The sequence below is a fragment of the Homo sapiens genome, chromosome 19, assembly GCF_000001405.40.
Source record: "Homo sapiens chromosome 19, GRCh38.p14 Primary Assembly".
Taxonomy (NCBI): Eukaryota; Metazoa; Chordata; class Mammalia; order Primates; family Hominidae; genus Homo; species Homo sapiens.
The window spans coordinates 39775738-39788595 of record NC_000019.10 but is presented as its reverse complement, the minus strand read 5'-3'; the positions used below and the strand labels follow the sequence as shown (position 1 = coordinate 39788595).

Sequence of the window (12858 nt, the reverse complement as noted above, 5' to 3'; positions counted from 1 at the left end):
TGGGACCCCAGTAATTTGAAAATTTGGTTGCTTTATGGTATCATATGTCATGAAGGCTTTTATCATTCTTTTTAAATTCTTTTTTATTTTTGTCTTCCTGGGTTATTTCAAAAGATATGGCTTCAAGTTCTGAAATTCTTTTTTCTACTTGATTTAGTCTGTTGTTGAAGCTTTCAAATATATTTTGTATTTCATTCAATGAAGTCTTCATTTCCAGAATTTGTTTGGTTCTTTTTTATATCTATCTCTTTGGTAAATTTCTCATTCATATCCTGAATTGTTTTTCTGATTTGTTTGTATTATTTTTCTGAGTTCTTTTGTATCTCACTGAGCTTCTTTAATATCATTATTTTGAATTCTTTATCCAGGTATAGTCTCTGTATGATTTATTTGGCTGTAAGCAACATCAGTAGTGTTATTTCCTCCGTGGCTTAAGGTGCAGTTGTTGGTGGAGGCTGTGAAGCTTTTCTGGGATAGGGGATGTCAGGTGGGCCGGTTTTCGGGCCCAGTGGTGGCAGTGGTGAGCCTGTCCTTGAGTCCCAGGGTGGTGTACGCTGGCACAGGTTTAGCAGGTTTAGGTAGGCCAATTCCCAGGCTTCCAGGTGGCTTTCTTGGGTGCTGGCATTGCCAGCCGTAGGCCAGGTAGGTGCGTAGTTCCTGGGGCCACTGGGCAGCAAGGGTGGCATGGGCAATGGCAGTAATATTGGCAGGACAATCTAGCTCCCAATCAGCTTGTGCTAGTGTTGGTGATGGCTGTGACGGGCTGAGCAGGCCAGTCTCCAGGCCTGTAAGTGGCACATGCAAGTAGATGCCACCTGAGGTGGTAGTGGCCAGCTAGGTGTGTTCAGCCTCAGGTCCCTGGGACTATTCTCATCTCCTGGAAATGCTTGTGCATCAGTTTAAAATCACCTCTTTGCTGTGATCTAGGGAGACTAGTGAATGTCAAATCCCTTCAGTTCCCAGAGATAGGTGATTTAGGATGCCGTGGAAGCTGCAAAAATTTGGGTGCTCACTGCATGGAAAAACTCCTTCCAGGGAGAGTCTGTAGACTTACCACTAGAGCAAGCAAGGGCAAAAGGCTTGGACAGTGTCTGAACTCCCATTCAGGCTCCCAAGGATCCAGCATTTGTCTGCCCTGTTGACTTCCAGATACAGGCTGGTTAAAAGCATGACTATCAAGCAGCAGCTGGAAGAGTGTGCTGGCAAATCCTTTTTGAGGAGTAACTGGGAGCTGTACATTTTGACCCCTTCTCTGCACTGCTCTGGTTGGGGGAGTGTGGTGGAGGAAGGCTAGCCCTGAAGTGCTTGTGTGCCTGCTTAAAACCACCTTTTTCTCTGTGAGCTAGGGAGACTCACATATGCCTAATCCCTTCCATTTCCAGAGCTAGGGGATTTAGGATGCAGTCCCTTGAGTGCAGGTATAAAAGTTGGGGTGCTCAATGTGTGGACAAACTTCTTCCAGGAGGAATTGATAGACCTGGATTTATTGCTGGGCTGAGCTGGGGTGAAGCTTTGGGTGGCACCTAGCTTCTGTTCAGGCTCTTGTAAGTCTGTAGTTTACCTACCTAGTCAACTCCCTGATGCAGGCTCGTTAGGAACTTAACCATCAACTGTTAGGGTGCTATATGTGTGGTTCACTGCTTCTCTCCTGGGGGAGAAGCTGGGAACTGGGGATTCCTTCCTGATTGTATGGCTCAGTGCCCAGGGTGGGTTTAGTGTTTCTGAGTGCTTCAGCTTTTGCTGCCTGTTTGATAAGACATTTTTTTTCTTGTCTTTTCTTCCTTTTCTTTTTTTTTTTTTTTGAGATGGAGTCTTACTCTGTCGCCCAGGCTGGAGTGCAGTGGTGCAATCTTGGCTCACGCAACCTCCGCCTCCCGGGTTCAAGCAATTCTCTTGCCTCAGCCTCCCAAGCAGCTGGGACTACAGGTGCCCACCACCACACCCAGCTAATTTTTTGTATTTTTAGTAGAGACAGCGTTTCACCATGTTAGCCGGGATGGTCTTGATCTCCTGACCTCGTGATCCACCCACCTTGGCCTCCCAAAGTGCTGGAATTACAGGCGTGAGCCACCGCGACTGGCCTGCTAAGACATTTTCTTAGTTGCCTGGTGTGTAGGAGTCTCTCCACTCACTTCTGACTTTCTTCCAGAGAGAACTGATGTAGGCACAGACGTTTATTCAGTCCATCAATCAGGAACCTCCTATGTCACTGTGTTCCTGGCGTCACTTCTCTGAATACAATCTTTAATGCTGAAATTTGGGTGAGGAGGCACTCAAATGGAGTTCAGAAAATGCAGGCAATGATGAAAGGTAGGGGAGTTCCTTTATTGTTTTTTCTACAGAAAAAGATAAATTCCCAGCCCCTGATCTACTTAGACTGGGGTCAAACCATTAAAGATGTGTGGAAATATGTCTCAGTGGGTCAGATCCAGACCTCCCCTAGAAGTGATGTGTAAGAAGTTACACTGAAGATTGGAGCTGGTCATACTCAAGGCATACTGGAAAAAGATATTGATTTAGGCTGCTGGTGTCATCTTCCCCTGGCAAGTCATAGATCTTTACAAATTCATCTATTTCAAAGAGAGTGGAGGCCCAAGGAGGATTTGAAGCCCCCAGACATATCTGTTCAATGTCATATGACTGAGAATCCCAGGATGAAACCCTCGCAGAGGCGCTGGCTCCTCCAGGATTCTTGATACCAGAAGGCTCACGTAGATCATGGTCATTTGCATCAGAGATTCCAGGACTTACTGGACGAATGTTTGCAGTAGTTATGGCTGAGGGAGTCTCCTCCTTCTTCACTGAAGTTGTCTGGTTTGCTGGCCCTAGTGATGGCCGTGTCTGCATTTGCTGCCGCTGCTGCCTCTTCCATTTGGCACGCTGGTTCTTGAACCAGATCTAAGGAGGGAGGAGGGGGGAGGTTAATAATGGATGTTGAGTATAAAGGGGCATCCTCATGTTCCTCAGGAATTCGGTTTTTTGGTGTGAGAGAGAGTCTCACATTTATTGGAACAAGGGAAGCCCTTTCTACTCTCTGCTGTCCTGGGTTTCAAGGGAAAAGTGGGTGTAGGATTGTACTAGCAATGGGTGGAATATGACCTAGATTGTGATGTATTAAATAGAAGGGTGTTTTTATTAGTGGTGTATTTTTTTTTTTTGAGACAAGCTACCACTCTGTCACCCAGCCTGGAGTGCAGTGCTGCAATCATAGCTCGCTGCAGCCTTGAACTCCTGGGCTTAAGCAATCCTCCTATCTCAGTCTCCCAAGTAGCTGGGACTACAGCCATGTGCCTCCATGTCTGGTTAATTTTTAATTTTTGTTTGTAAAGACATGGTCTTGCTATGTTGCCCAGGCTGGTCTTAAACTGGGCTTAAGCGATCCTCCTGCCTCCACCTCCCAAAGTGCTGGGATTACAAGTGTGAGCCACCATTCCTGGTGCCCAGAGAAAGTATTTTAAAGTCAGAGTATGGGGTGAGAGTTTAGCTTGGGTCATCTTTAGGGTTCATCCAGGTGTTCTCCCATGAATACTTTGTGGGAACTTAGTGACAGGCATCTGGATGACTGTGATGGTCCTGATTAAGCAGAACCCATCCTGAATACACAAGAACAGACCCAAATGGGAGTATCTGAGATCCAGCCTCAAAGAGTCCTGTGTAGCATGGTGGGTCTGGAGTTGGAAAGGTCTGGGTTCAAATTCCAACTCTTGTGTTTATAATGCTTGGAAGACAGCTCTTCTATGTGAGCTTTAGTGTTCCTCAATAAAGTGGGTGCTCATGACAATAAAAATATAAAGTGCTTAACATCTGTCCTTACACATAGCAATTGCCAATAAATAGGAACTGTTATAACAATGATCAAAAGTGTGTGTGAAGCTCTGGGTTAGGCGTGCTACCTACAGACACACTTGGGAACAGACCTTTACTACGGATAGATCAAGTTGTAGCTTTGAAGCCAGTTTCCCCATTGTAGCCAAACTTGGGTGCATGGTCTTTTCAAGCAATTCTCTCAATGCTGTGAGTTGTTTGGAGAGAAATCTTGTGCGTGGCCGACGATAACGCCTTGGCCCTTCTGCAGAGGGAACAGATAAAAGGCTTTCATTAAAAAAATTCGGAAGGAAATGAGGAGAGTACTACATCAAGGGAACACCTGTGGGACAAAAGAATCTGAACAACAGCCTTGAGCCCTAGACCGTCCCTCTGACAGAGCCTACACAAATGAGAAGGAACCAGAAAACCAAATCTGGTAATATGACAACACAAGGTTCTTTAACATCCCCAAAAAATCACATTAGTTCATCAGCAATGGATCCAAACCAAGAAGAAATCCGTGATATACCTGAAAAAGAATTCTGAAGGTCAGTTATTAAGCTAATCAAGGAGGCACCAGAGAAAAGTGAAGCCCAATTTAAGGAAATTAAAAAAAAAGATACAAGAAATGAGGGGAGAAATCTTCAGTGAAATAGAGAGCATAAATAAAAAATAATAAAAACTTTAGGAGACAATGGACGCCCTTTTATCCACTAGACCTAAGAAATGAGATAGACAGCAACACAATGACCAAGAACCCAAAAGCAAATGCAATAAAAACAAAGATAAATAGCTAGGACTTTATTAAACTAAAGAGATTTTGCATGGCAAAAGGAACAGCAGAGTTCTAGACAACCCACAGTCTAGAAGAAAATCTTCACAATCTATACATTTGACAAATGACTAATATCCAGAATCTGCAACGAACTCAAACAAATTAGCAAGAAAAAAACCAAACAATTCCATCAAAAAGTGGGCTAAGGACATGAATGACATGAATAGATAATTCTCAAAAGATATACAAATGGCCAACAAACATGAAAAAATGCTCAACATCACAAATGATTAGGGAAATGCAAATCGAAACCACAAGAATGGCCATAATAAAAAAAATAAAAAAAAATAGATGTTGGCGTGGATGCAGTGAACAGGCAACACTTCTACACTGCTGGTGGCAGTGTAAACTAGTACAGCCACTATGGAAAACAGTGTAAAGATTCCTTCAAGAACTATAAGTAGAACTACCATTCGATCCAGCAATCCAACTACTGGCTATCTACCCAGAGGAAAATAAGTCATTATACAAAAAAGATACTTGCACATGTATGTTTATAGCAGTACAATTCGCAATTGTAAAAATGTGGAACCAACCCAAATGTCCATCAATTGAGTGGATAAGCTGTGGTGTGTGTGTGTGTGTGTGTATATATATATATGTATATATATATAATAATTTATGTATAATGTATATAAATTATATTGTATATAATTATATATAATACAAATATTATAATTTATATATATATAATTTATATATATATAAATTATATGATGGAATGCCACTCAGCCATAAAAATGAATTAATGATATTTGTAACAACCTGGATTAGATTGGAGACCATTATTCTAAGTGAAGTAACTCAGGAATGGAAAACCAAACATCATATGTTCACACTCATAAGTGGGAGCTAAGCTATGAGGATGTAAGGGCATAAGAATGACACAATGGACTTTGGGGATTCGGGGGAAAGGGTGGGAAGGGGGTGAGGGATAAAAGACTACAAATATGGTGCAGTGTATGCTGCTCGGTTGGTGGGTGCACCAAAATCTCACAAATCACCACTAAAGAACTTACTCATGTAACCAAACACCACTTGTTCCCCAATAGCCTACGAAAATACAAAAAAAAATTTAAAAATGTTTTATTAGAATGCAAATATGTATATTCCAAAGGTAAGCTTCTTTCCTAAGCTTGACCTGTGAATCAAGAGCTTAGGCTAAACATTTGACTCACGAGACCCACTCCTCACTCTCTTGCTGGGAGTGTTCTGCATTCCTAGAAAATCAGTGCCAACTTCCACTGAGCAGGACATGTTTTTAAGCCACAGATGGGATAAGCTTATTTTGGTGGCCTCATCCTACAGCCCCTGGAGGAGGAACATCAACCTCTCCATGACATTGGGCACCAATATGTTTTCCTAGCAACTTGGGGACATCTTTCTGTTTCTCATGCTGCTAATAAAGACATACCTGAAACTGGGTAATTTATAAAGGAAAGAAGTTTAATGGACTCACAGTTCCACATGGCTGGGGAGGCCTCACAATCATGGTGGAAAGCAAGGAGGAGCAAAGCCACATCTTACGTGGTGGCAAGCAAGAGAGGGAATGAGACCTAAGCAAAAGGGGAAACCTCTTATAAAACCATCAGATCTTATGAGACTTATTCATTACCATGAGCACCGTATGGGGGAAACCGCCCCATGATTCAGTTATCTCCCACCGGATCCTTCCCACAACGCATGGGAATTATGGGAGCTACAATTCAAGATGAGATTTGGGTGAGTCCTTATTGAGATAGAATAGAATAGTGGCATGATGTTGACACCAGGTTTATATGAGTCTATAAGATTCATAAGAGTATTTGAGGCCCTATTATCCTAACCGGTCATAGACTCAGTGGCACTGCTGTCTATGTTGATTGGCTTGTGAGACCCTGAAGCTATTGGTTTGGCCATTTATTAATGGGGTCTGTAGGGAAGGAGATATGAAGCTTAGTGACCTAAGAATGAATGTCGATTCTCTCATTTACTAGCTCTGTGACTTTGGCAGCATCAGTACACTTATACTGTTTGCCTCCGTATCTTTAACAATAACATGGTCCCAGAAAGCTCACTCCTTTAGGGAAGATGTGAGTAACCAAAGAAGCAAGTCTGTTAATTACAGGCTTGGTGCATGTGTTAGTCCATTTTGCATTTATAAAGAATTACCTAAAACTGGGTAAATTAGAAAAGAGGAATTAATTGGTTCACAGCTCTGCAGGCTATACACAAAGCATAGTGCTGGCATCTGCTTCTGGTGAGGGCCTTAGGAAGCTTCCACTCATGACAGAAGGCGAAGGGGAGCCAAGGTGTTACATGGTGAGAGTGGGAGCAAGAGACAGCAGGGGAAGGTCCCAGACTCTTTTAAACAACCAGATCTCAGGTGAACTTAGAGATAGAGAACCCACTCATTACCATGAGGATGGCACTAAGCCATTCAGAGGGATCTGCTCTCATGATCCAAACCCCTTCCACCAGGCCCACCTCCAACACTGGGGATCACATTTCAACATGAGATTTGGAGGGGACAAATATGCAAACTGTATTAGTGCATAATGGGAGTTTTTACTATGGTTTAGAATATAAATAAGACCTCATCATCTAGTAAAACCTGATTCTCATGGTCATCTATTTTATAGGAAAGTTTCTATTTTCAGGATGCTCTTATTCCTCATGCAAATACATGGAAAAACAGAAGCCAACATGCTGCCCAATTATCGCACAGTGAAGACAAGTGATCGGGCACATGGGTTTCTCTTAGTGTCTCAGCATTTGTTTAGACACAAAGGGAGAACAAAAATTTACAGGACATTGAAGAAAAATTCTCAAACAGGAAGGGGACAGCAAGAAAGGGAGAGAGGGAGAGACAGAGAGAAAGAGAGAAAAAAGAAAGGGAAAGTGGAAGAGAAAAAGAAAGAAGAGGAGGAAAGCAGCAAATAACCACATTTTTTCTTAAGAAAAGAAATAAGGCTGGGCACGGTGGCTCATGCCTGTAATACTAGCACTTTGGGAGGCCAGGGAGGGTGAATCACTTGAGATCAGGAGTTCAAAACCAGCCTGGCCAACATGGTGAAACCCCATCTCTACTAAAAATATAAAACAATTAGAAAAAAATTACAAAAAAAAAGAAAATCTATAAATGTTAAAATTAATATGCTCGGATAAAAGATATTGCACTCATACATCAAGAAAGTCTTGAAAAGAAAGGAAAATCTGATAAGACAAATGTTCTTTGAAATCAGTAGCTAAAAAGAAACCCTTAGGCAATAATAGAAGAGTTGGAAGACAAAGCTATTCCAGGAAGTAGAAAAAGTATACAAAAGTGGACAAAAAGAGTGAAAAGGTCGGAAAAAAATAAGATCTCTGCTCAGGGATGTCCAGCACTAGCAATATTTATGTGACTAAAAATATCTCTGACTAAAAAATGTTTCAGAGAGTATCATGAAAGTATTTATTAAAAAAAATTCAAGATTTGAGAGATGAGGCACAGGGGTTTCCAGAATGAAGACATTCCACGATGAGCACAATAAATGAACAAAAGGATCGTTGTTGCAAAAATATCAGAATACCAGGAATATATAGAAATTTCCAGAAGCTTCTAAAGGGAAGTAGAATTTCCATCAAAGGAATGGTAATTAGAATTCTACTGGTCTTTAGAAAAGCAACACTGCACATTGATAAGTTATAGGAGGTAAAATCGAGGAAGGATGTGGCTTTGAGTTTAAAATCATCTACCAAGCTGAGAGGTCAATATGTAAAATCGACTAATTAGTATTTTTGTAAGTTTAGTATTAAACAATAGGAAAATGTATTAGAAGAGCCAGGTACAAGTTTTGATAAGTGAGCTTGTTGATGCATAATTTTTCTATTAGAATCAAATCATTTTAAGAAGTTAAAATAAAATGTAACTAAAATTACATTTATGTCCCCAGCCAAGAAATACACTTTTTTTGTTTTTGAGACAGAGTCTTGCTCTGTTGCCCAAGCTGGAGTACAGCGGTGCAATCTCAGATTGCTGCAACCTCTGCCTCCCAGGTTCAAGCAATTCTTGTGTCTCAGCCTCCCAAGTAGCTGGAACCACAGGCACATGCCACCATGCCTGGCTAATTTTTGTATTTTTAGTAGTGACAGGGTTTTGCCATGTTGTCCAGGCTGGTCTTGAACTCCTGGCCTCAAGAGATCCGCCTGCCTTGGCATCTGAAAGTGTTGGAATTACAGGTGTGAGCCACCATGCCCAGCCAGTAATATACTTCTAAACTACGTTTTACAAGTACAATTATAAAAGGAAAATGTTGATAAATATCACAATGACAACTTTTAGAATATTTGTACAACGGTACTCATAAGTAAATTGAAAAACACAAGCCAGGCTGGGAGAATATATTTGCAACACATATAAGAGATAAATTATTAGTGTCTAGAAGACAACAAAAATATTCTACTAAGCCTCAAGAAAAAAAACATACTAAAAACTGGGAAATGATATAAATATAAAAATTAGCATAGGGGAAAAACAGAATGGCCTTTAAAATAGAGTGAACAGATTCAATCACACGGGTTAGTAAAGAAATGGGAATTAAAGATCACATACTATTTTATACCCATCAATGGACTGACATTTAAAAAGTATGAAAGTTACCAGGCATTAAAAAGGATGTGAGTTCAAGACGACCTTAGGCAACAGAGTGAGATCCTGTCTCTACAAAAAATTTAAAAATTAGCGGGACATGGTGGCACACACTTATAAGTCCCAGCTACTCCTGAGGGTGAGGTGGGAGGATCACTAGGGCCTAGGAGCTCGAGGCCAGCCTGGGCAACATACCAAGACCCCATCTCTTTAAAAAAGAGATGTGGAGAAACAAATTCCTAAGTTACTAGAATCCCTTGCAAAGTGTTTTTCAAACAATCCTTGTTGGTATAACCCAGTGGTTTCTAAATTTACCCAGTGGTTTCTAAGAAGCCACCACAAGGTCCCACACCTCTCACTTGATTTGTCTGCAACCCAATCACTGAAACCCCAGCCTCTTGCCTTCGCCCAACTTACCAAACATGGTGTCCTCTAGAAATGAGTGGGTTCGATCAGCTGTGTGCTGCAGAGCTCCTGAGCTGAGTCTATGTGACTGCTGGGCTAAAAGACCCGCTTATTTAAGCAGAATTTTAATGTAATCATGTCCCCACCCTGTCCTACCCTAATACCACGCCCTCCAATAATCCATTCAATATCTGTTTATTTAGAACCTATTATATGCCTGATGCTGTGTAGGGCACTGGGAATAAAACTATGTTTAAAAAAAAAAAAAAAAAAAAAGACTGATCCTTGACTCCAGAGAGTGGAAGAAAACAAAAGAAAGTGGAGCGAACTGAAAATGGATAAAATGTTCAAAAATGTCACTTGGGATCAATGAGTAAATAAACAAGGCGCTGAGAGAAAAATAAGTTGGTAAGATGATTCAAACTGGAAGGTGAAGGAGGTGCCCTGTGCGTGGACGGCTTCCAGTGAGACCCGGAGTGCAGCAGGAGGCATCCTGCTAGGAGTTTGGGATGATGGGAGTTAAGCCCTTCACCCGCCCATCTCGGTTCAACCTCTTCCAGTTGAGACAGCAATGGATGACAGTGAAGAACTTGGCAGAGCCTAAACCATAGGGGATCTTGTATCTTCTCTTGAGTATGGATTTGGGGGCAGCTGGGGAGCCCATAACGAGTTTTCAGCAAGGAAACTTAAAATATAAATTGCATTAAAAGAATCATGCTTCTTTCTTTCCTCTGAGCATCCCTCTCTCTGTCCCTCTGTTACTCATTTACTCCACCTTTCAGGCACCTTATTAACTCATTTATTTATTCCTCCCCCTAACGTTCTTCTCCATGATGGGTCTTATTTGTGGGGTGAGTGTAATTCACTAGACAGATCTAGTCTCTATCCATGAGATATGGCCTCCCCACACTCAATGTGGACCCAAGCTTTCTGAAGCAGAGATGGGACTCTGGTCTTGGCCCATCTTATACTACCCCTCAACTCTGTCCTCTCCCGCAACCTCCACACCCCCACCAGGTTGGTTTGGAAAAGTCTTGGACTAGCGAAAGAACTCTGTCTCTGGGAACATTGCAGGTAGCCTGAAGGCCAAATGATTGAAGGACCCATCTGTATCTTTTTACGTTTTGTTTTAGGGTCTCACTCTGTTGCCCAGACTAGAGTGCAGTGGTGCCATCATAGCTCACTGCAGCCTTCAACTCCTGGGCTCAAGAGATCGTCCAGCCTTGGCCTGCCAAAGTGCTAGTGAGCCATTGCACCTGGCCCCATCTATGTCTTTTACAGGAATAAAATTCAGGAACACTTCTAACACAGTCAAGGGTAGAAACTCCCAAATCCTATCGGAAAGGATAAAGTGGGCCTCAAATTTTCCGTTTAAATGTTAGAATCAGTCCCTGGAGTTGCCCTATGACACTAATGAGGATGGAAAGAGAGTGATATATTCAAAGGGTATGACCTCCCCAATAGCAGGGAATTTTGCAGAACTTAACGTTAAAACACCCCTGACACTTCTTCATTTGTTTGCTTAATTATTTGAATGCCTGCTCTGCTAAGATTTGTTCCAGTGACTAGGAAATTGGGATTTACAAAAATAGAACTCACTGCCGCCTTCCCAAGTGCTGGCATTCTAGGGAGGGAAGCAGGAAATAAAAAAGGAAACAAGACAATACGCAGTTCTGATTATGATACTACTGGTGTTATGAATGCCACCAACAGCACTGATTCAGAGGATGTGCAGTAGTTTTAAGGTAAGGTAAGATGTCTCTGAGGAAGTATCATTTTCACTGAAGGAGAGGGAAGAGTGTTCTAAGCAAAGGGAACATCAAGTGCAAAGGCCCAGAGACATGAAAAACCTTTTCATGTCTGAGGTGCAGATAAGAGGCCACTGTAGTTGAGGTGTGTTGTGGGAGAGGAATATCGGGAAAAGCTCAAACTGGAAAGGCCAACCAAGGTCGGGGCAAGGTGAAGAAGTTTGAATTTTATTCCAAGTGAAGGACAAAGCCATTCAAGGGGCCTTGGGAGACACAGAACACTCAGTTCACTTTCTTTCCCTTTTTTCTTTCTTTTTTTGAGATGGGGTCTCGCTCTATCACCCAGGCAGTGGTGTGATCTCGGCTCAGTGCAACCTCCGCCTCCCAGGCTCAAGGGATCCTCCCGCCTCAGCCTCCCAAGCAGCTGGGACTACAGGAATGAGCAACTGCACCCAGTCTCAGCTCACTTTTCTTACCACAAGCTACTTGAGAAATGAAAGAAAAAAATCGCCTCACCTTGAGAAAGTTGCTTGAGATTCCAGGTGCCCGCCTGACAGGCAGGTTCCACGGAGGCATGAGGCTGAAAACCGTGTGCAGTTACAGTTTCTCTTTTTGTTGCATTTGTTTGGAGCACACCCTCCCCTTACTTTCAGAGGCCTCATTCCCTACTTTCTCATCAAAGGCTTCTCTCATACGCCCCAGGCCAGGTCAGAACTTCTGTGTGGTGCGGCAGCACTCCCGGAGCTTCACCATACCTCGCTATGTTTATTTGCGTGGGTTTTCTGGGAATGTTGGTCTCCATGAGGGAGGTTGTGGGTCTTTCCCTGTGATCCTCAGAGCCCTGCACAGGACCTGGCCCATGGTAGTTGCTCATTATAAGAGTTTAGGAGACATGAATAAAATATTGGACTCTCCCTGGGGGAAAGTGGCTGTAGTTGACCTTGCTACTGTGAGATTTCAAATGTAAATAAAATATTTGCCTATTTTGGCATGCACTGAAGTATTAGGAACATGTTTCTACAGCACTTAGGATGGGACACGGTGGTACAGGATGCTGTCCACTAGCCTGATCCAGGCATGCCTAGCATGTGAACCGTAATTCCATTTTCTTATTCTAAGTTGCACATACATGCAGAAAAGTTCATGAGTGATTAGTGTAACACCAGCGATTTTAAGCCCCCATGTAGCCAGCACCCAGATCCAGAAACAGAATATTTCCAGCATCCCACAAGCTTCTTTCCATCTCTGCCTATGCAATGGTACCAACTTGCCTGACTATGTCATCGCAGATCAGTAATGCCAGCTTTTGAACTTCATATACATGGATTATAAAGACTTTTTTCTCTTTTATTTTTAATTGACATGGAATAATTGTACATATTATATTTATAGAATACAGAGGTTTTTTTTTTTTTTTTTGAGACAGGGTCTCACTCTGTCACCCATGCTGGAGT

The 12858-nt window shown here is 42.2% G+C and overlaps 1 protein-coding gene across 2 annotated transcripts; it reads right to left on the bottom strand.

Annotated features, from left to right (window-relative positions):
* Positions 1 to 2304: 2304 nt before the first annotated feature.
* On the bottom strand, positions 2305 to 12143 carry LEUTX (leucine twenty homeobox). Of its 2 annotated transcripts, none has more exons than NM_001143832.2 (3): positions 11921 to 12143; positions 3918 to 4069; positions 2305 to 2898 (listed from the first exon to the last, which is right to left on the bottom strand). In NM_001143832.2, the coding sequence occupies exons 2-3, from the start codon at positions 3984 to 3986 to the stop codon at positions 2461 to 2463; spliced, it is 507 nt and encodes a 168-aa protein (NP_001137304.1). In that variant the 5' UTR covers positions 3987 to 4069; positions 11921 to 12143; the 3' UTR covers positions 2305 to 2460. The 2 variants fall into 2 exon arrangements, with proteins under 2 accessions (NP_001137304.1, NP_001369274.1); NM_001382345.1 differs by lacking the exon at positions 11921 to 12143 and adding an exon at positions 9669 to 9742.
* Positions 12144 to 12858: the final 715 nt, after the last annotated feature.

Bases quoted from the DNA above. Each gene is read 5' to 3' on its own strand.
- LEUTX (NM_001382345.1), bottom strand. The intron at 2,899-3,917 runs GTCTGTTCCCAA...CTCCCTCCTTAG, and splicing joins TTGATCTATCCGTAGTAAAG to ATCTGGTTCAAGAACCAGCG.